Raw genomic sequence first — 25,076 nt, 5'->3', positions numbered from 1 at the left:
GATCACAGCTCACTGCAACCTCTGCCTCCCGGGTTCAAGGGATTCTCCTGCCTCAGTCTCCTGAGTAGTTGGGATTACAGGCACCCACCACCATGCCCAGCTATTTTGGTATTTTTAGTAGAGACGGGGTTTCACCATGTTGATCAGGCTGGTTTCGAACTCCTGACCTCAGGTGATCAGCTTGCCTCGGCCTCCCAAAATGCTGGGATTACAGGTGTCAGCCACCACGCCTGGCCTATAGTCATTTTTAAATAATAAATTACAGTGATTGCTGGGCATAAAGTAATATTTTAAGATAACATTTAGATTCTTAAAGTAAATATGGGGAGATAAAGAATGGAAAATAAGATAGTATTACTAGTGAAATGTCTATTGACATACTAACTCAGTGCAGAAAGCCCTGTCAAAGCTACCAATATCCTAATGCTGTATCCTCCCATAACATTAACTATGAGATTTTAACTCAAAAAAAGCTGAGAACGGTGTAACTGGGGCATTCGTTTCTTAAGTATTTAAAGTAGATTAGTCAGAAAAACAAATTTAGAATGATATTACCCAGAAATATACTTATTTAGCATGATAAATGCTAACTAAAAAAATGAATAATCAAGAGTATTGTAATAGAGTATATTCAAGCTGTGAGGCAACAGTTAAGCCAAAACCATGTTCTGGATAGCCACCTTTTCTTTTTCTTTCTTTCTTTCTTTTTTTTTTTTTTTCTTTTTTGAGTCAGACTCTTGCTCTGTCACCCAGGCTGGAGTGCAGTGGTGCGATCTTGGCTCACTGCAACCTCCACCTCCCGGGTTCAAGCGATGGCCACTTTTTCTATTTGTCATAATTACATTGAGCTTTAGCAGGATAGCATCAAACTCGACTCAGGGAAAAACTCCCAAAAGAAGTATTTCTTTGATTTATTTATTTTTGCCATATATCAACCCTTTTCTTCTGAAAGATATAGTCTATGAAATAAAAATTAGGAACCTAGTGCTTGAGTGGAATTCTGGAAACAGTACAATACATAATGCTGTTACACTGAATAGAGACTTAACTATAGTAAGCAGCTTTTAAATAGGCTTTAGATATATAGTCAGTACCTGTGAAACTACAGCCCACACAGCAGCTCTGTTTATTCTTTTTTGTGTGTCTACTGAATACCTGTAAATGAAAGATTTATTAAATGTACTTTTCACATTTCTCTGTTAGTTAAGCAAATGCAGTTTTATATAGACAACTGCAGTTTTATACAGACAACTGGTCATATAACTTTTCTCTTAAAAATGATAGTCATCATCATTTTTAGGCAACAGTGACTACTTTTCCCCTAAATTTAACGACATCTCAGCATTAATTAAGGGTTTGTTTGTTAAATGTTTCTTTCATACCTTCACATTTCATGGTGATTTTTTATTAGCTCCATGTACTTCCTGTCTTAGTCTGGTTTTTGTTGCTATGAAAAAATACTACAGATTTGGTAATTTACAAAGAAAATAAGTTTAGTTGGCTCATGGTTCTGGAGGCTGGAAAATTCAAGAACATGGCCCTGGCATCCGGTGTCATCCCATGGTGGAAGAGTATCACATGGCCAGAGAGCACACTCCAGAGAGAGCTAAGATTCAAATACCAGTACTTTTATTTACTAGTTTTTTTCTACCCCTCTTTTGCCAAGTTACTTAAATTTTCCACATCTAAGTTTCCTCATCTGCAAAATGAACTTTACTTGTATTAGTCCATTCTTACACTGCCCTAAAGAACTATCTGAGACTAGGTAATTTATAAAGAAAAAAATGTTTAATTGACCCACAGTTCCATAGGCTGTACAGGAGACATGGCTGGGGAAGCCTGAGAAAACTTACAATCATGGCAGAAGGGCAAAAAGGAAGCAAACATGTCTTCACATGGCAGCAGGAGAGAGGGAGTGTAGGGGGGAAGTGCTACACACTTATCTCGTGAGAACTCACTCACTAGCAGGAGAATAGCAAGGGAGAAATCCGCCCCCATGATCCAATCACCTCCCACCAGATCACTCCCTCAACACTGGAGATTACAATTCAACATGAGATTTGGGTGGAGACACGGAGCCAAACCATATCATTACTACTGCACAATAGAGTTTTTGAGAGTATTAAATAAAATAAAATATATAAATTGCCTCTCCCGCTGGCCTAGTTCTTGTGCACCCAAGTGCTTAATAAATATCACCTGTAGTTACTGCTGAATAATTAAAAAGACTTCCTTTTGAAATGCTAATTGGCAGATTCTTACAATAACTTTATTTTTCTTACAAAAGTAAACTGAATCTCTTATGGATTGAGATTGTTAAAAATGATGATTAACTTTTTGAGCCCATATTTAATGATTTAACTATCACCTTTGCATCTAACGAGATTCACATTAAATATTTTGAGGCTTTCAACATTTCCTGTAAATTTTTATTTTATTCTAAAAATCTTGAAATCTACATATAAGGTGAAAGGCTCTTATAATAATCACCCATCACCAAGATTCAATTAATTATTAACATTTTGCCACATTTATCTTTTTTGTATGAATTTATACAGTCAAAGAAAAATGGTGGGAATAGTTTATATAAATAGCTCACACATAATTAATTATAGTAAAGTGTCCTTTTCATTCTAATTTCACTTATTATTTTAGTAATGGTATCTATGTCTGCAAGAGTACATCGATAATTAAGTTGTGTGCACATCTAGATTTTTACATCAAAATTCAAAACATCTAAAGTGTACAAATCTGGATTTTTGAAATGTTTACATCCTTCATATGATTAGTATCTGTTCTGAGATGAATTTCTAGCTAGATTTTATATTATGAAAGTATTCAGTGACTTAATATATGACTTATGTTGAGGTTTCTAATTTTATTTCTTTTATTTCTATTGTCTTTTAGTTGTAGTGAATTATCTGATAACATTTGGCCTATCAGAATACAAATAAAAAATCAAAAAATTTAAAATATTTACTTTAGTTGATAATATAAATTTACCCAGCATTTAAAAAATAAGGCTGTAAAGCTTCCTATAAATAGTAAATTGTATTTGAAATTTTGATAGTTTTTCAGTTACTGCTGAATGAGGAATATGCCAAACATTAATTTTCAGTCATTAAAATCTAATTAAGAAAGAAGTAAATATTACTAGAAATATAGTACCTTTTCTCATTAATGAACATGTCAGAATTTCTAAAAGTACATCTCAAAATTAGTACAGAGAAATAGTACGTTTTTATAAGTTAGGGAATTTTCATCTTCTCCATTTATTATTTGTCAGTCTTGAGAAAATAGAAGCACAAAGAAAACTCTATCACAGTTTAAAATTATTTAAACCCAAACCACTGAACAGATTTACCATATCTTATTTACTGGATAGGACCCTGGATTCACTCAAATGAGTAATTCACATTTGTGATGCTCACTCTACTGTTTACATTTAAACATCAGGAAGAATAATTATAAAACATTTTTAATCTGCAACTAAACTGTTTTATGACTATTAAATTTGCATAATACATTATTATCTGCCACACTTATTTCCCTCTACCCCATCCCATCTCACCTTGCAAGTAAAAGTGCTCATAAAATCTCAGTGGCTGAAAAGGTTTATAGTAGTTTCATAACCACTTTATTTCCAGGTAGTAGACACATTTCTTCCAGGATCTATAATTTAATCATTTTACATGTGAAAAAAGTAGGGCAATGATCTTTAGATTTAGGTATTTAAGTTAAGAACAACCAGAAGGAGATATATATGTATATATGTAAATATGTATATGTATATGTATATACACACATACACACACACACACATAAATATATCAATTATGAATTTTAAAATGGTGGATGGTATTTGTTTCTGGTGAAGCAGGCTTTAATGGTGAAAGAATCACATTCATTTTTTTTTCCAGTGGTTGAACCAAGCTAAATCTGAGCAAAGCTAGCTCCTGTGCCCAATCCTGCATTCTCTTAACTGGTAATAAAGAACTTTGCTGGCCTGACAGGTTGTCACAGCAATTATTCACACGAAGTTATGTAGCAGTTGTATCTGTCAGCCCATGTAGTATTGAATATTTTAACTGGCAGTCTTCCAAGACTGAACATTAATCTTACCATCTCCTATTACAGTCCCTAATCAAGATATTCCAGGGGTGATTGCACTAACATTGTTTGAAGACTACATCTACTGGACTGATGGGAAAACCAAGTCACTCAGCCGTGCCCATAAAACATCGGGAGCAGACAGACTCTCACTGATTTACTCATGGCATGCCATCACAGATATCCAGGTGTATCATTCTTATAGACAACCTGATGGTAATTATTCTTTCCATGATTTCCATAAATGCATTAACATCTTTCAGTAACATTCCATTTTTTATTATTTCAAGGTTAAATGTAATTTTATTTTTGATGAAGATTACTAGATTTAATTATTTAGCATCACTTTATGGAAGAATTCAGTCAATATGAAGTACTGCTCTTAAGGCATATGATTAGAAGCTCAATAATAGGACAAAGAATTATGGATTTGTTCAACTCATATTAAGCTAAAATGATAATAATGCATTTAGTCAGATAAGTGAAGACTGTATTCTTGAAATAATTTGTTTACAAAATAGAGGATCCTTAGTTTCTGAAATGCTGAGTAGGAGGAATTATGCTTAAGTAGCTCTAGGGTTTTAAAACTGACAACTCTATCAAGTTTTCTTCAGCATATGTTTAATAGGAATTTCATCTGGCCTTGTGAAATAAAGGTTTGATTATTTTCCTTAAAAAAACCTATCCGGCCTATAAAGCAAAGTCATTACACTAGTAGTTGTAGATCATTGTTTCATTGTTTTATTTTATGTTTGTATTTCTGAACATATGTTTGTCTTCATCCAAAATGCTTCTAGTCTTTGTTTATTTTTCTCATGGACAGTTTTTTTCTACTAAAATTTTTGTTTTGTAGAAATGCACCTTTAAAATTATTGAATGGTAGAATTAATGTCAATGGACAATGAGTAGCATTTGTGACAAAGTAAAATTATATTTATAGTCTTGATGAGTTCTTGAGTACAAAGATTTATTCTAATTCAAGTTATGCAGCTTAAAAGTCCTATCTCTAATCCCATGTTATATTATTAGTCTTGATTATCCTGTTTTGTTGTTGTTGTTTCTTTCTTATCTTTAGTCTCCAAACATCTCTGCATGATAAATAATGGTGGTTGCAGTCATTTGTGCCTTTTAGCCCCTGGAAAAACCCACACTTGTGCATGTCCCACTAACTTCTATCTGGCAGCTGATAATAGGACTTGCTTATCCAACTGCACAGCCAGCCAGGTGAGTGGAGGTCTGGGAATCTTATTATAGAGTGTATGGTGAAACATCAGCTCTTTTGTTTAGCATAACATTGAATGATCATTCCATACATTGTAGAGATGGTCACAGAATAAAGGAAAACACTATAACATCTCATTAAAATGGGACCTTAGCTATTAGGAAGAATAAATAAAGGCCAAAAAGGAAACAAACAAACAAAAAAAGAGAGAGAAAGAAAAGAAAAAATTATTTCACAGATCCACATAAATAATGACTCAAATCCTAAGTGGGTAAAGGGAGGTGGAGTTTAAACAGAGCAGGAAATCTCTCAAGATAATCTGCTCCATGTCACTGTCCCCACTCTCCATTTCTTAGAGTAGGTGATCTGGGAAAGATAAATTCAATAGAGAGTAAGTCTCTAGATTTTGTTTTTATTAAAATAAATCATGTGATCAAAATAACTTTCTTCTGAAACCTCTTTTTCTTTAAAACTTAATTATTCTCAGTTGAAGATATCCCAGGAGTTAACTTGTCTACTGTATGGTAGTTGCATGGACTTGATTTTATTACTTTCAAATTTTGGACAATAGTCATATGACATTGTAAAACTGTACTTTGTAACACGTGAGCCACTATCTTGTTGGATTTAAGATAAAACTGTCAAACTATATTTTGTCTTTAAAATGACTAAATGTATTTTTAGAATTCTATGTTTGAGTTTGCTGATTTTCTAGTTACTAGCAATGATTTCATTGCAAGAGACTGAATTTCTCTTGGATTGTTTTTATCTTCAAAATGGAGAAGCTAAATTTAGCTCAGCTTGCCTTTCAGATTAGATTTAGGAGTATCATACATGAAAGAACTGCATAAATAACAACAATTAGAACTTTTTCAGGGAGCCAGAATGTGTAGAGGTTAAGGGCATAGACTCTGAAGCCAGAGCTTTTGTGATTATAATGCAGACTCAGCTTTAAATTGAGTTTGTTACTTCTTGGTACCTTGGTTTTCTCATCTTTTAAATGGGATTATAATATTTCTATGCCATATACAGATTAAATGGGAAAAGTTCCTGGTACATAGTAGGTGTTGTTATTATTACTCTTGCCCTATACTGCAGCCGAAATTTACATTAAAAAGTTATGTATATAATTAGTGTGAGCTGCCCTCAAGAGGTTCTGACCGCTCTTTGAAAGCACAAGCCACAGACTCTGCTTTTATTACAAAATGTGTTATTCTAATTATAAGTCCCTGAGTATTTGTGTAATAAAAATATTATTTTTAAAGAGCTGGAAATGTAAGTCAGTATGAGAGATAAAATTAGCAATTGAATTATTCCTAGTGGTAAAATTAAAGAGAGAAATCACGTTTTTTAATATTTTAAAATAGAATTATTAATACTATTGGTGCTATTTAGTCAAATTTTCAGGTAACCTCCATCCAGGTTATTCTAAAATAATCTTTGGTCCCTTGCTTTGGAATGATCATACATATATCAGTCTGCTGAGGCCCAAAAGTAAGGCTGTCGCTGGCTTAGTAGAGATGATGCCTGCCTGAGTCACTACAGTGGCGATGACTTAATAGCCAACTAAAAATAGAACAAAATCACAGCATTCTTTGAAGCACAGATGAACATCTCAAATAGCAAGGCACAGAGAATAAAACATCAGCCTCACTACAGGCATCAAAGGGATAACACTTTTCAAATATTATATATGAAAACCTATAACTGTTTATCCAATGCCAACAAATTAGATTAGTCAAATAAATGAAAACCTAACTCACCCTGAAAGAATTATTTATCTAATAAAATTATTTCCCAATTTGGTTTCCATGATGACAACACTAAAATATTTATAATTTTTAAATACCCCCAATAGTCTATCACGAATTTTTAGAAACTTAACAATAGCAAGACAGAACAAACAAATCCAAATGTGTACAATACTTTTCAACTATACTTCTGAAAACAACAAAAAAGGAGGAGGTATCACTTCATTAGTTTCATCTTCAAGGAAAAAGTTAATTGCCCAGGCCCGGTAGCTCACGCCTGTAATCCCAGCACTTTGGGAGAACGAGGCAGGTGGATCACTTGAGGTCAGGAGTTGGAGAGCCGCCTGGCCAACGTAGTGAAACCTCGTCTCTACTAAAAAATATTAAAAATTAGCTGGGCATGGTGGCAAGGACCTGTAATCCCAGCTACTTGGGAGGGTGAGGCATGAGAATTGCTTGAACCCAGAAGGCGGAGGCTGAAGTGAGCCAAGATCATGACACTCACTCCAGCCTAGGCAACAGAGTGAAACTCTTGTCTCAAAAAATAAAAACAAATAAAAAAAGAAAGAAAAAAAGTTCATGAAGAACAGGTAATGCAAACTGTTAGTGGTTATCCCTGTAACTCATCTCGTTTATGAGGCCATTTTACCTCTGATTCTTTTCTGATCTAATGAGAGGAAAATATATCTCTTGTATACTTCTTGGAGAAAAATCAGTTTGTAGAAACATGATTTTCAGTGAGGTAGACCTTTAAAGGAAGCAAATAATCTAGGCAGTTAAGAATCATGCTAGTAAGCATCCTGATGAAAATTTTGCATTCTTAATTTATTCTTACTTAGGGATTTTGATTTATCATCTAATGATTGTCAACAAATGACATGTTCCCCAAATAGTATTATTTTAGAAACAAACAGGCAAATCACATCAATAAGAATTCTATTAGGATTGAAAACATAATCTGAGAATCTAGTAAAAATTAAGATTAAGTTCAATTCATATAACACTAGTCATTTCAAATATTTAATGAAAATCATTTTAGGAAAAAAGTCAACTTAATAATGGCTTCACTTAAGCTTTAAAATGGAGACTTTTCTTGTTTCAACTAAACTTTACCATATTGAGATTGCATTTTATCCCTGTATTCATATTAGTAGACACATATTTAGTAGGTTCTTTATAGCTTTTACTTGTGGGTGATAATTACAGTCTACAGTTTATTTTATGATGATATTAGTCTTAGAGAACATTTATGATGAAGACTATTTTATATTTATATTTAGCATTAATCTTTTTTAAGTTACTGAATTTAAGTGGGTAAAAATGAAGCTAAGACATGAAATAGAAGAGATCTTCCTGTGAGAATAAAATATTGATTAACATGAAAAATAAGATAAGTATATTTTACCCTGGCCTCCCTTAACTCAAAACCCTTTAATGTTATTTTCAAAGTCAAAAGAAGAGCAAAATCATTATATCATATATAATTCCAACAGTTCATGTTTATTTAAATTGGGTTCATTTAGTGAATTTAAAAATACATACAATTTAGATATTTTTCCAGTCATAATTGGACTTTGAGGATACTCAGGAGACCTGATGTTCTCATACTAATGTGTTTTAATATATTGTAATGACTAGAAATTTTAATGTTAAGGGTAACTGCTTTCCCTCATATCCCCAGACAGTCACTATCTATAAAGATAAGTTTTCTCCACTCCTATTTTATAAAAAAAAAAAAAAAAAACACACACACACACACAACAGACATGTACAAGCTAAGCAAATATGGAAAAATCAGTTGAATGGTTAGATCTCCCATTGGATTCATAGAGCTCTATTCCTTCTTGTATTGCCACTGGGAGAAAAAATTCACACTCATATTTTTTAAATGATGTAAATCTATCATGAATTCACCCCATCATATCCAGACAAATTTAGCAAAAGCCAACATCAAATAATCTCTTATTTGAAGAAAGTAACAGTATTCTAAATGAACAAGGCTTTGGATTGCTAATCTATTTTCATTAGCAATAATTAAACTTAGGCTATAGTTTTCTGTTACAAATCCTTCTTGTATGTAACATGCTAAGAAAAATGCCAGCTGGCTGTTAGTCACTTATATGGGAATAACAACATAAACACTTCTAAAAGAAGTTAATAACTTTTAGAAAGTCATCTCAACATTTAGAAATGTTTTCAATTCTAGATGAATATTGTGATATATGCTTTTCATTGAACTTCTACTAAATTGAAGAGGAAAATAATTTGATATACCAGGAGAAATTGACTAAACGTTATATACCGCTTGGTTTAACTAATTTCAAGTGAATTTTTTTAGTGGCAGCTGCTCCAGATGAATGTGCTCTGTATGGAAAGTGAGATTTTTGTCTTTAGTTTCTTCTATCTGAATGGTACTGAGAAAATAATTAGTTTACGGTAATAGATTACTAAAACATAAACTAACTGAGCTTTTTGGTCACTGTTTATATTTGGGCAATAATGAAGTTAGTAGGAACAATAATTACTCTGTCTCAGCAGCTACATTTGGGTTCAAATCACCTTCCTCATAAAAGTGATATGCAATAATAACTTCCTGTAGTTTGTCTCCAGTATCAAGTCACTTGTGTGCTAAATAGCCTGTAAGTAAATAAATATTGCCATATAACAATTCACTTACTTTCTCTAATGTTAATCTGCCACTTGATAGTTAATTTTTAAAGGGAGGAGTTAAAATTTCCATTTCTGTAAATAATAGAATTATTACCTTTCTCATGACTTTTTGTTTAGCTGTTTCAAGTGGAAAGGATAATACAACAAATAAAACATATTAATAAATATTTTAGTGAAAAGTTTTTTTTTTAGGTAATCTGGAGAACAAGTTTCATTACATGTTTTTTTCTGTGCCTTCATTTTTTATAAGTCAGCCAAAAAAAAATGTTGAGCCTTATTTTTACCTCTTTTTAAAAAATGATCAGAATTTTTCTTTGTCCTAAAAGATCATGTGTATTTACTAGGAATTCTAATGAAAAGAACTGTGTTGGCCTCAACTGCTTTAAAGAGATATTCTTAAAATTTATGTGGGGCCCATACTCATCATGGCTAAAGGCAGTATTTTCAGTGTTCAGGAATCTTTATGGAATCACAGCATGACAGAGCTGGAAAAGATACTGCAGATTATCTTCAGATCCTCATTTGGTGGCTAAAGAACACAGACTAAGAGATGTTAATTGAATTGCCCAAGATTCTGAATAAAATGCAATTAAATTAAATTAATTCAAATTACCTAAATTAGTTCAACTGGATATCTCTTCCTGATATTCCTGATAGCTTTTAGCCCTATTTAGTGTTTGCCAAATTTTTCCTGTAAAGGGCCAGATAGTAAATATTGTAGGCTTTTCAGGCCACAGGGTCTCTGTAGCAACTACTCATCTCTGCTGCTGTAGTGTACAAGTAGCCCTTTAGGGCTGGGGCCGTGATTTATTTACACCTGTAATCCAGCACTTTGGGTGGCCTAGGTGGGAGGATCACTTGAGCCCAGGAGTTTGAGATCAGCCTTGGCAACATGGTGAAACCTCATCTTTACAAAAAATATAAAAATTTTCTGGGCGAGGTGGCATGTACCTATAGTCCCAGCTACTCTGGAGGCTGAGGTGGGAGAATCTCTTGAGCCCAAGAAGTTGAGGTTCCAGATAGCTGAGATCACATCACTGCCTTCCAGCCTGGGCGACAGAGCGAGACCCTATCTCGACCAACAAGCCAACTAACCAACCACAAAAACCAAGTAGCTCTGCAGAAAACATGTAAATGTGAGAGATTGTCTGTGTTTGCAGGTCATCTCAAGAGGTTTTCCTGAGCAGTATCCTCTCCTGGAAGATCACGTTGTGGCTTTTTGTGTATTTAGTTCCTATTGTGGAATTTTCCAAAATCACCATTGTTCACATCTGCAGCAAAAAAGTAGACTAGGCTGTGTTGCCAAATTTTAAATTATCCATTATATATGCACTGGGTTCTTCAACATTTTTTTTTCTTTTTTTCTTTTTTAAGTTTCGTTGCAAAACTGACAAATGTATTCCATTCTGGTGGAAATGTGACACCGTGGATGACTGTGGTGATGGATCTGATGAACCTGATGACTGTCGTGAGTATACTGGCAAATATTGAAATTTAGAATTTAGAGTTCCTTATATCCCAGACCTGGAAAATTGAATCTACACCTAAAGTATTGCCTTCTGACACTTTTCCAAAATTGAAATAGAAAAATTTTAAATGCCATTCTTTAAAAGTAAGATAAAAATTGTTGTAATACCTTGGTTATCTCCCTGATAACTGTTACACTTAGAATGGTGCCATAAGCCATTCGTGTTAGATTTTGTTTCTTTCTCAAATTTGATTACTTGTGGAATAATGACATTATTTCATGTAGTGATCAGTAGGGTAATAAGCATCATTAATTTGACTTAATATGTCACCAACTTAGAAGTAAAAATGGGCAAGTTTCCAGAATGTCACTCAATTACTGAAATCTTATCTTTAAGTAATATAATTTCTTAAATTTACTGTCAGCATTGAAATCCTGAAAATTCTTAAAAAGTCTGATTTTTCCAATATAAATCATTAGATTGCCATTAGGTAATTTAATATGTTCTTAGCAATTGCTCTAAAGATATTACCAAGTATGTCTTGACATTTGACTGTAATTGGCATGGTTAGCTGCTGCTTTTTCAGCAATCGTTGGTAACTTTGGTTGTAATGGGACATCAGCAGACTTTTCCTTGATAGCCTTTTGTACTTCACTCCATAGGTCACTCCAATACTTCACTGTCAGATTGAAGATGCTCGTAGTCAATCACGATAATTCCCTCAACATCCCAGTACATGGTTGCCATAATTTGGCCTTGACAATTGAGTTCAAAATCCTTAGGCTTGTACTACACAAAGACAGAAGAAACTGGCTATCTTCTTCTACTGGAGAGCTTGCTACCACCTTATTATAAAGCTTTTTTGAAATTTAGGTTATCTAGATATTTACTTAGATAGGCTGTATTCCATCTCTCTGGTCATGCCCAAGTCTCTCACATACTGAAGTTGTTTCACATAGTGCATATGTTTGAAAGCAGTAAGTAATCAAATCAATGAAAAGGAAAAATGTTATAAAAGTCATTGTGTTTCTAATATAATCTTGTTTCTGAAAGATCCACTGCTCTTTGATTTTTTAAATATAGTTTTTGTTTTTTACTATGATAGACAACATATAAAGGGTAGTATCTCTGTGGGATAAGTACACTATTATTCCTGAATTATTCTTTTCAAAAAACCTATTAAGTTAAAAGGAATATCAAAGGAAGAATAAATTATTTTGGTGACCTTACTGAGATTCTTATTAAGAGAAAGTTATTACTTTCCCCACAATAAAGTAAATTTTCTATGATAACAGTAAATACTCTAAATGCAACTTACATTTGTAATTCTTAGAAATAAACAAGAATGAATATGTTAATTTAGTCCTTTAATTAAGAAGATGATCTTTCTTGTCTAGATTGACTGTTCTCTGAGAAAATTTCACTATAATGACCTGCAGCTCCTGACCTCTATTTGTAATTTTGACTGAAATTTCATCCTGGAACCATATTGATGTGAAAAATTAACTACAGACTTAGTATTAGGAGTTTTTCCATTTAACTCCTTTCAGAATATATGGTCATCAAATATTACTTTAGTGTCTTTTTGAGGCACTGATGTCTGAAAGACATCTGTTATCTGAGAGCTTCTCTATGATCCTTGTTTTGGTTAAATACTAATATCTAAATTTTTTTAATTGACAAGTAAATTTCTACATATTTAAGGTATGCAACATGATGTTATCATATATGTATACATTGTGGAATGGCAAAATTAAGGTATTTAACATATGCATTACATCACATACTTAGCTTTTTTGTGATGAGAATACTTAAAATCTATTCTCTTAGCAATTTTCAAGTGTGCAATATATTACTTTTAACCACAGTCAACAAGATGTACAATAGATCTCTTGAAGTAATTTTTTCCATCCCTAACTGAAATTTTGTGTCTTTTGAACAATGTCTTCCTAATCTCCCCAATCTCCAGCCTCTGGTAACCATCATTTTATTCTCTGTCTCTATGAGTTTGACTTTCTTAGAGTCTACATATAAGTGAGATCACGTGGTATTTGTCTTTCTTTGCCTGGCTGGTATGACATAAAATAATGTCCTCCAGGTTCATCCATGCTGTCACTAATAACAGGATTTCCTATTGTAAAATATTGAATATTATTCCCTCATGTATATATACCACACTTTATTTATTCATTCATCCATTGATGGACACTGTGGTTGATTTCATATATTGGTTACTGTGAATAAACCTGCAGCAAACAAGTGAATGCAAATAGTGTTACAACATAATGATTTTATTTCCTTTGGATATACAGGCATAACTTATTTTATTGTGCTGTACTTTACTGCGCTTTGCAGATATTGTATTTTTCACAAATGGAAGGTTTATGACAAGGCTGCATCAATCTTGTCTATTGGTGACATTTTTCAACACCATGTGGTCACTTTGTCTCTCTTTCACAATGTGGTAATTCTCACACTAGTTCAATTTTTTTTTCATTACTATTATTATATTTGTTTTGGTGATACAATCAGTATTCTTTGACATTATTAATACTATTGTAATTGTTTTGGAACACCACAGAGCATATCCATAAAAGACAACAAACTTAACTGATAAATATTGTGTATGTTCTGGCTGCCTACCAACCCACTGTTCCCTCTCTCTCTCCCTGTCCTTGGGCCTCCTTTTTCCCTAAGCATAACAATACTAAAATTAGGTCAACTAATAGCCCACAATGGTCTCTAAGTGTTCCAGCGAAAGGAAGAATTTCATGTCTCTCACTTTAAATCAAAAGCTAGAAATTATTAAGCTTAGTGAGAAAGGCATCTCAAAACACAAGATATACCAAAAGCTATGCTTCTTGTATCAGTCAGCAAAATTATGAATGCAAAGGAAAAGTTATTATAAGAAAATAAAAATGCTACCCAGTGAACACATGATCAGACAGTACAGATGCCTTCTTGCTAATGTGAAGAAACTTTCAGTGGTCAGGATAGAAGATGAAGCCATCCACAACAGTTCCTTAAGCCAAAGCCTAATCCAGAGCAAGGCCCTACCTAACTCTTATTTAATTTTGTACAGTTTTTTTAAACATGATGCCATTGCACACTTAATAGACTACAGTATAGTGTAAACATAACTTTTATGTGTACTAGGAAACCAAAAAAAAAAGTATGACATGCTTTATCGTGATATTTGCTTTATTGTGGTGGTCTGGAACTGAACCTCCAATATCTTCTAGGTATGCCTGTGTATATCTAGTAGTGGGATTGCTGGACCGTATGGTCACTACATTTTTAGTCTTTTGAGAAACCTGCATACTGTTACCCAAAATAGCTGTACTAATTTACATTTCTACCAATGAAATACAAGAGTTTTCTTTTCTTCACATCATTGCTAACACTTATATTTCTTCTTTTTTTACAATGCCTAACTTAACAGGTATAAGGTGATATCTTATTGTGGTTTTATTTGCATTTTCCTGATAATTAGTGATGTTGAGTATTTTTTAATATACCAGTTGGCCATTTGTATAATGTTTTAAAGAAATGCCTATTCAAGTCCTCAGCTCATTTTTCAGTGAGTTTTTTTTTCTTACTATTGAATATTCTTTATATATTTTGGATTTTAACCCATTAGCAGATGTACTGTTTGCAAATATTTTCTTCCATTTCATAGATTGTCTCTTTACTCTGTTGTTTCTTTTTTTGTACATAAGTTTTTTAATTTGATGTAATTCCATTTGTCTGTGTTTGCTTTTGTTGCCTGTGTTTTTGGAGTCATATCCAAACAGTTTTTACCCACACTAATGTCATGGAACTTTCCCTCTATATTTTATTCTAGTAGTCTTAAATGTTTTTGTTGGTTACATTATCTCTGTGAGCTTTCTTTTAGTAGAGCAAATAGGCTTTTACTTGTAGTTGATGGGTTAACAGCTTTGAATATCTGTAGGAATGACACTTTGCTTGAGAGTCATGGTGAGGTAGAAAATTATATGCAAGAGTCTATGGAACGTTTAGATTTCACTTTCGGGTAGATGCATCATCAATACCTGCAGACAATAAGAGATGCTGACAATACTTATAACATCACCTGAGAAGACAGGAAAGCCTCATCCCAGGGTCCCATACTTGCAAGCTTACATAATGTTATTTATATAAATGTAGTTAAGAGCAATGCATCAAAATTCTCTGGCATCACAAATTTGTAATAATGTTTCTTATAATACTCTAATACACTTAAGATTATTCTAGAGACAGAGTTGAAGCTCAGATGGGCTTCCAAGTTATTTCAAAGCATTCCTTTAATAGTTGCAACCTTTTTCTGGTGGAGGGTTGTTTCGAAAGCAAAGGAGTATTAGAGAAAATTGTATACAAAGCAAAATGAAATAGAGGAAAGGCACATGCTTAAAGTATGAGATAATTGTGTCATTCAGTTTAAACATTTAGTATTATTAATTAACAAAATGTTATAGATTGGAAGCAAATAACTTTCAACATTTTAGAACTCTCATTTCTATGGAAGCAGACCATATATAGAGTTATTTTTTAAAGAATGTTTAAATTTTTATTTAATATTGTAATTATAAAAGCATAATTTATTTCTCAAAAAAGTTTAAAATGCTATTTATTAGTGTTTGATTCACTGATTTGAGCTAATAAAGATAATATTAACCTCAAAATCAGTAATATGCATTAAAATCATTAGTCAAAAGATAAGTGTTTTATTGCAAACAACATAGTAGATTTAATTCAGAGTCTGACACTTAAAAGTTGTGCATCCTTAGGTGAATTATTCATATTCAGTAAATTTAGTTTACTCTTGCTAAAATGGTAATGCCAAAATGAGAATGTTATGGTGAGATTAAATTAGTAACTGTATGTGAAGGGGTCTAGCCCAGTGCCTGATACATAGTAGATCCTCAGATCCTGCCTTATTATTATTATTCCCAGATAATATGATAAAATGCATTATCACTTGGGAGTCATTTGTTATAATATACGTATAGTATATAAAATATTTACTATTTATAAGATATTGTTCTCTTGTATAATAATCGGATTATAGGGATGAATATCGATAAATCTGATTTAAAATGTGATAGATATAGAAAGCATTTGCTTTACGTTGTGCTGGAGAATATGTATCGTGGGCCAGGTGCAGTGACTCACGCCTGTAATCCCAAAACTTGGTGCCCGAGGGGGGCAGATCAGCTGAGGTCCGGAGTTCGAGACCAGCCTGGCCAACATGGTGAAACCCTATCTCTACTAAAAATACAAAAAATTAGCCAGGTGTGATGGTGGGCGCCTGTAATCCCAGCTACTTGGGTGGCTGAGGCAGTAGAATTGCTTGGACATGGGAGACAGAGGTTGCAGTGAGCCAAGATTGCACCACTGCACTCCAGACTGGGCGACAGAGCAAGACTCTGTCTCAAAAGAAAAAAAAGAGAGAGAGAGAATATGTATTGTGGACAAATCATACACACCATAGGCCACCAAATGATCAAGGAGAAATGATTTCTTAAAAGATGATATTGGAATAACAGTTTTTGTTACAATAAATTTCATTCTGCAACTTAACCTCTCAATATCATTTCATTAAAATGAGAAGACTTTTATATGTTTTTTAAATTTTTAAAAAAATATATTTATATGTTATTAATTCCTATCTTCTAAAGTATGGTTTATTAAATGTTATCTGGAGGCCATCTGAGTTGCTCAAAGTATAGCTAAACATTTGAATCTAATAGCTATCGAGATGAGAGACATTCACATTGTATTCCAGGATATATTTATTATAGTAAATATCTTGAATGTCAGAAACTCTATGTTTAAGAAGTTGTGAGGTAAGATTACCATTCCACAATATCTATGCTTTCTCCCCTAGCTGAATTTAGATGTCAGCCAGGCCGATTTCAGTGTGGGACTGGACTCTGTGCTCTACCAGCTTTCATCTGTGATGGAGAGAATGATTGTGGAGACAATTCTGATGAACTCAACTGTGGTAGGTGATTAAATTCCTAACTAATGAACATAAGTCTAATTTTCAACTGATTATGTCTGTGTGATTTTAATTCAGACACAAATTTTCTCTCTCTCTCTCCTTCTATGTTCTAGACACACATGTCTGCCTGTCAGGTCAATTCAAATGTACCAAGAACCAGAAATGTATCCCAGTAAACTTAAGATGTAATGGGCAAGATGACTGTGGTGATGAGGAAGATGAAAGAGACTGTCGTAAGTCACCTCAAAATACTCTGTCTTGTCTTAACTTTGACTCCTAAAATAAGTCTAAAAATTAGTACTATACTTCATAAATTCATATGATGTAGATAAATTGAAAAGAAATTATGGTCAAATAATTAGAAATAGATGCCAACTGGGATAGAAGCTCTAAATAAAAATATAGAGAAAATGAAAATATGGGCAAGTTTACTTTAAAATCTACCTGTAAATTATGACAAACATGAACAACATTCATTCATCCACATCATCCTTAAGAGAAGCACCAAATAAAACATGGCAGTTGATTATGTTTTTTAAATTTATTTTTGCCCATATTAAGTAGATACAAGTAATTTACTTCTGTGATTAATCAGTTTCTTGAAATTAAGTTATTTTTAATTAGAGAGTGTTTTCTCCATGAAATACATGTTGCACTCATGAAGAGACATATAAAATCTGGGCAAAATGGTCTAACAAAAATTTAACTTCTACAAAATTCTAAATATTGCTCCATTTAACGTATCTTAACAAACTATTTGAAAGAATAATAGTAAAATATTTTGTTTCTTTTCATCTCATATTTCCATCTTCCATCAAAATTCAAATTACGTTAAATGGAAGGCAAAACTGTTTATACCATATACATATATATATGCATATAAGCTGGCATGCACATGCTTGCACGCATGCTCACACATGCAGATTATGTGACTAATGGAGCACCTGTCAAGTTTCAGGGTTTCAACAGAACCGCTGTCAACATTTCTGTTTTGCTGAGTTTTATTGTATCCCTCAAAAACTTTTATCAGTAAATAATGTGCAGTCATCCAGCAATTTGATTAAGATGGTGCATTCAGAATAAAGTCAGTACCAGTTCTTTATGGTTAGCCATTCTAGAAGCTCATCCATTAAACTGTCTAGGATTTGTGATGCAGTTTACAGTCTAAGTTGGATGTTCACTTCCCTCAAAAACTCAACACAGGCCGGGTGCAGTGGCTTATGCCTGTAATCCCAGCACTTTAGGAGGCCGAGGTGGGTGGATCACCTGAGGTCAGGAGTTCGAGATGAGCCTGGCCAACATGGTGAAACCCTATCTCTAATAAAAATACAAAAATTAGCTGGGCGCAGTGGTAGGTGCCTATAATCCCAGCTACTTGGGAGGCTGAGGCAGGAGAATCACTTGATTCTGGGAGGTGGAGGTTGCAGTGAGCCAAGACTGTGTCACTGAACTCCAGCCTGGACAACAGAGCAAGACTCCACGTATATGTAAAACTCAACACAATTCCTAGACAGTTTGATAAACTTTGTACTTTTTATTTCCTTATTCACTTAATGCCTTCCAATTTTAGTATTTTTCAGTTTACAAAAATGTATACCTATGAATTCTTATTTTTTTCTGGAAAAAAACTTATTTTGAAAGTCCCTGAATTCTTAATTCTTAAAATTAGTATTCAAATATCTAATCAACAGTTTTTTGAAAACTCTGATATTTATCAGTGTATCACTGCAAAAATATGTTTTCTTTAATTTTACTGGAGAGGATATCAGGAGTATCTCAAAAGGAATTAAAAGTTAAAATTCCTCACCTTCAGAGTCCTATTAATTTAAAGACAATACATTTTTCGATAAACTGTCTTAAACATTTGTCTGTAAAATTTGCTTTTAATAAATAAATATGTTCTCCAAAGCTACATTTTAATGGCAGTTTTCTTTCTAAGCTGAAAACAGCTGTTCTCCAGACTATTTCCAGTGTAAGACTACGAAGCATTGCATTTCCAAGCTGTGGGTTTGTGACGAGGATCCAGACTGTGCAGATGCATCAGACGAGGCCAACTGCGGTGAGTGTCTGTGACTCTGGGTCTTATCTCTCCGTATTTGAGTCATCATCTGCGACAACCACAGTTAAACAAATTTGAACACAATTCTTTTGAAGCTAAGGTCTTACCTGAAAAGGTTTTGTCTCTGTGTTCACAGATTCATAAAAACTTAGGTTAGCTACTTTACAAGAAGCCTGGAGTGATAAGATGGAAGAGTAAGTATTCCTTAATATAACCCAGAACTTTATAAAACATAGACCAAAGAGGTAGAATAAGACCATTATCTTCTTATATTAGAGTATGCACATGATGGCATTAACATTTAGTGAACAGAAATAAGGAAACACTATATTCATATCATTCTAGAATTCATTTTTTTTTTGCTTAAATCCCTAAGATTCTGTAGTTATTCAATGATATTGTATGTCATTCTTTAATACATTACAGTGTGAAAAAAGATAATAAAAAGCATCTGTTCCATATTAGTAGATGACAGTGATCATTTCAGTCAGCATTTGCTTTTGAAACATTAATATTTTCACTTAAAATAATTTTATTTACAATAATTATTTCTTAATTGTTATCGCAGAAATGGAGAATATATATTTATTTTGTTTAATGTATTTGATTCTATGTTAAAGCTGTTAACACTGAGACAGAAATCAAGAGTATTTGCTATGTGTAATTCATTTGATCAGCATTTATTAACATTAATTGAGCCTGTTCTGTAGACAAATATGCCAATTTGGCATTGTTGGATAAGCAAAAAGCATTTCATCTAGTAATTGATTAGAAAAGACAAAGTTTGTCCAAACTGGATAGGACTCCCAGACTTCACAGAAGTGTGTTAAATGCATTTGCTAGATTCCAGAGTACTTTCATTGAACTTTTATGGGGAAAATGAAAATAATGAAAAACCTTTAAGTGCTCTGAAATTTCATTTATATTGAACAACACTTATGAGCTACATGTGTAAGTGCTGGCAATAATAACATGTCTTTAAGTGATTTTCCTAATACTATCTTATTATAATTGGGTCTTTAGAATATGCCACCAGTGTAGCTTACCACAGTATCATAAAACTACCATTTGCCACTTTGTAGAATTTGTTTTCATAATCAATTCACAAAGCCTCAAACTGCATTCATCACCAATTTGTCCATAGCAATTACCAGGGAGTTTTGTGGGCTAGTTTATATTACTGGCTAATTTGCTCTATTGTCTTTTGCATTTTCACTTATGAAACCAAAGTGGAATAATGACTTGTTAACTCTGAACAATTTCTGGACTGGAGTGTTATTTCTGTATTTTCCTCTCCTTCCTTTTCCTCACGTTAGCATGATTTGACTTTGTTTTGGTAGATTATATGCTTCAAATAGATTATTATCAATCACCCTAGTAACAACAATACCTAACATTTAGTTGATGGTAACCATATGGCCCGAGAAATATGTTAAAAGCTTTAGAGTGATTATCTTACTTAATCTCTTTATTACCCCTATTTCATTGATAAGGAAAGTGGGCACAAAGAGGTTCTGTAACTTGTCTAAATTCCCATAGCTAGCAAGTCCTGTAACTGGGATGTGTCAAATAACAGGGTTATTTGACACCAAAGCATCTGCTTTGAACCTCTGTGGATATAGCATAAATACACTTCATTCTTTCCATATAAAGAGAAAAATATATTTAAATGTTTTCAGTAGTGAGGTTATATAGGATTCTCCCAGCCACTAGTATTGCTGTAAGTTCCAGACCAGTGTGTGTACACACACACACACACATACATACAGAGGGACAAGGATGGAGGGTGGTCATCTGATTTGAGTTACACAATTTTATTGTGCACAGGTGCTAATTAATGTAAAGAAAATTCTGTGTCATATCTTAGTACAGCATTTCACACCCCTTATTTTTGAAAGGGATAAGTGGCCACTTTGTTCCCTTCTCTTTTGTCCTCAATAAATACAGAAATGTTACATATTTATGCTAATTATTTTAAAACTCCCTGGGATGATTCTCCTTCTGCTGTTTTTATTGAATGGGAAAGAAACAGAACACTTTGCAAAGGTTCACCATGTTATGCCAAGTCCTTATCGTTTGACTCAGTTATATGTCTTTATGGCTAAGAACAGATCTTCTCTAGAAGCATGGGTGTGTTTCACTATTTCACATGTCCCATGTCCTCAGGGCTTAGCAGGATGTAGAGTAGGATTGCATTAAGAGTGGCATGAGTGTCTAACCTATTCCCTCTTGCAGGATCTCTATTTAGAATCCATTTTTATTTCAGTTTGTGTCCATACTTTTCTTAACCCATGCTACATTCAAGGGGAAATTCTCTTATGCTCTTGGAGTTCACCTAGTTGTTACCTCTTACTTCTCAGCACCAATATTTGTATTTATCTATAGTTCCATTATCAGTTGGATATTTCATTTCTAAAGTCCGAACATTGTAGTTTGTTCTACCTTGACATATTCTAATTTAAATAATTTGTTCTGTTTTTATTTAAATTATGTAAAGAAAACAATGTAGAAGCAAGAGAAAGAGAGAGAAGCACTATGAAAAAAATGAAGCAGAGTAACTTAACACATACAAAATATACATATAATGGGGGGAATTAAAATAATCATTGTAAATTTTTTTAAATTCTATATTTATATTTACTGAAATACCATGTTTATTGAATTTAGCCTGGTATAATTTTTTGGGTCTACGAGTACTCACAATTTTGACAACGAATATTCAATCTATGGAAAAATTATATACTAATCTCTAATTTAAGGAGCCTTTGAATAGATGTAAATTAAATATAGTTTAGGAGACCAGGCTTAATAATTTAGTCTTGGTGAGACTTTGGATATAAATTTTAAAAATTAAATTAAATATATAACTTCCCATTTTATTAACGCCTAGTTTTTGAGATGGCTAAATTTATGAATCTGTAAAAATATACATTTGGCACATTTAGATTAAATTACTAAAGGTCTTTAAAGAACATCTTGGAGCTCCATTTTTGTGTATGTAAAGATTTAAATCTATGCTAGCCTCGTATTCATGACAAGATAGTTACAAATTCATTTTGTGAGTTGTTAATAGTTCATATAAAATCACTTCTATTTACTCGAAGGTGTCTGCTCTTTTAAACTTTATACCAAGGGAAAAACAAGCTTTTAAAAATGTACATAAATACAGTTATATTAGACTGTAGAGGCTGACTGCTCTTGTAGGGCTGTTGCACTGCTTATTACAAGCTTGGGCAAACACCAGATTTGAATGTCTGACCAAAATAAGTAGAATATCCCAATTGTAGCAGCTCCAGAGTATTTATTTGGAATTTCAACTTCAAACTTTTTTCACCTTCAGCCTACTCTCTCCTATTTCAAGAACTAATAGAATATTTAAGAATTTGACAGACTGTGCTAGATTCACATGTCTGCTTAGTAATCAGAGTTGTAACTTTTCTAAAATTTGATTCATAAGATGATATTAGAATCTGGATCTTTCTATTATGTTCTCTCTCCCCAGTTTACAGTTTAGATTCTTAGTTCTCTGAATGCCTCTAAAATATTTTCTGTTTTTATCAGTTATTTTCTGTTTGGTCTCTAGTGGTCAACTCTGCACTCATGCCCCAGCTTTCTAGCCCCCACCTTTGCTCTGCCATATCACTCCTCTCTGTCGTCTTGCTTTCTGCTTATTTTCCTGCATCCTTTCATCTAATCTAGAATTCTGAGTTATCAAAAAGATTCTTGCCTCTAAGTTGACTCAGCCTCATTTGCTGCTTTTGTACAATCTCAGTTTATAACCTGCTGTTTGGCTAATGATCTTTAATTAATGTGTTAGCTATAATCACACTAACTAGGGCTTGTGAAGAGAACGTGAACTTTTTACAGTATCTTTGTATTTTCCGCAACCTGGCTTTCCCAACATGACACTGAGAACATTCAACTCAAAAGACAGAACCTATCAACATGTTCTTTTATTTTCCTTTAAATATGTGATCAGGAAATTTGAAACAGACTACTCAAGCTACAGTTATAAGCTTACATTTATAAGTTATAAGCTACAGTTATAAGCTTATAAGCTGCAGTTAAGCTATATATAGCTATAAGCTATACAGTTCTAAGCTATACCGTTATAGCTATAAGCTATAAGTATTCTTATACCTTATAACTCTTTTTTCCTAAAGTTAAAGCAAGTACATGTTAAATTATAAAATATTTCAGGCTGGGAGTGGTGGCTCATGCCTGTAATCCCAGCACTTTGGGAGGCCAAGGCAGGAAGATTGCTTGAGTCAAGGAGTTTAAGACCAGCCTGGGCATCATAGTGAGATCCCATCTCTACAAAAAATTATATTTAAAAATTAGCACCTGCAGTGTCAGCTCCTCTGGAGGCTGAGGCTGGAGGGTCGGTTAAACCCAGGAGATTGATGCTGCAGTGAACCATGGTTGCACCTGTACTGTAGCCTAGGTGACAGACACAGACCCTATCTCAGAAAAAACAAACAATCAAAAAGAAATATTTCACACATATACACTTGTTATATAACAAGTATCATGTTATGTAAGTTATATAACAAGTATCATGTTATATAAGTTATATAACAAATATATTCTATTTTTAATGGTTTTTAAAATTTGGTATAAGATATCTCTGTTAAAACATTTAAATTTCTACAATAACAACTAACGTCCACCTCTTCCCTTTCCCCCTTCTTCCCACTGTCCTGAAGTGATCATGTATTATTCACATTTATTATTTTTTACTTGTACTACGTAATTATACAACTATGTAAATATGCATATATGCAAATCTATCTATTCTATGTAGATATACTTTGTAAATATACTTCCATTTAGAATAACATTTAGAAATTGTTTGTTGCATGATTTCAAGATAACCTATGGGGGAAAAGCTTTGTGCTTTTATATACAGTAAAGATAATGTACTTAAATTTTGTATCTTGGAAAATGGTCCACACTTACAAATATTTTGTTAGGACATCTGTGTAGTATTTTTAATCAGTATTTCCCAAATTTAAATGTGGATTATAAATACATGTACTATATTTTGACTAGCAAACAGATTATCTGAACATCCTCAGTGCCCCTATCCTGTGTGGCTGTGACTTGTGAATGAAGCGGGTGTGCTGGGAGGTGTTGAGGGAGCTGCTGGGAGACAGATTTTGAATTTTCTAACATATGGTATCACAGTATCTCTCTATCTAGGTGTTTAGAAGCATGGGATTATGTGCCTTCATGTTAGCAGCTGGAAAGGAGAAAGGACCTTCTATCCACACAGTCTCTGGAACCTCATTCGTCTCTAATGGGGGTTGGTCTGATCTGCACTCTGTGCTCTAATCTGACTGTGAAGTGCAGGCATCCTCACTCACGCACTGTGGGTTTCGCTCTCTTCAAGTCTTTATTCTTGATGAGCTGCTGCTTAATCTTACGTTGCTGTTGATATATGACACTCGTTGAGCCAAGATCCTTACAGAAGCACATGATCCTGTAAACCTCCCAGGTCCTGTGAGGAGCCAGGAATACTGCCTCAAGCTTATACTTCTAACTTCTACCCACTTTTAATATCACAAAATAACTCCTGAATATTTAAAAATGTTGTGTGCATCCAGTATTGTTTCTCCTAGAAGCTTGGCCTTTTCCCATGGTAAATCCAGGTGAGTGTGACACTTATCTTTCCAGGTCTTGGTCCATCCCATATCAATCTGTCTTGAGAATATGTGCAGCTGATCTTTCTACAACTTTCCCTTCTTTTTTTCTTTTCACAATATCACAGGATCCAGAAGGGAACTTTACA

General features: G+C 33.4%; 1 protein-coding gene across 4 annotated transcripts in view; it reads left to right on the top strand.

Annotated features, from left to right (window-relative positions):
- Positions 1-25,076, top strand: part of LRP1B (LDL receptor related protein 1B) — a 1,899,594-nt gene that overhangs the window by 1,669,228 nt on the left and 205,290 nt on the right. For all 4 annotated transcript variants that reach the window (NM_018557.3, XM_017004341.2, XM_017004342.1 and 1 more), the window contains 6 exons: positions 4,138-4,326; positions 5,186-5,334; positions 11,128-11,221; positions 17,110-17,226; positions 17,340-17,459; positions 19,166-19,285. In NM_018557.3, coding sequence (NP_061027.2) covers positions 4,138-4,326; positions 5,186-5,334; positions 11,128-11,221; positions 17,110-17,226; positions 17,340-17,459; positions 19,166-19,285 — 789 coding nt within the window. The remainder of the gene's footprint in view (positions 1-4,137; positions 4,327-5,185; positions 5,335-11,127; positions 11,222-17,109; positions 17,227-17,339; positions 17,460-19,165; positions 19,286-25,076) is intronic.

This window comes from Homo sapiens, chromosome 2 (genome assembly GCF_000001405.40).
Source record: "Homo sapiens chromosome 2, GRCh38.p14 Primary Assembly".
Classification (NCBI taxonomy): Eukaryota; Metazoa; Chordata; class Mammalia; order Primates; family Hominidae; genus Homo; species Homo sapiens.
Note: the sequence above shows the minus strand (reverse complement) of the source record. Positions and strands in the feature narration are given on the sequence as shown.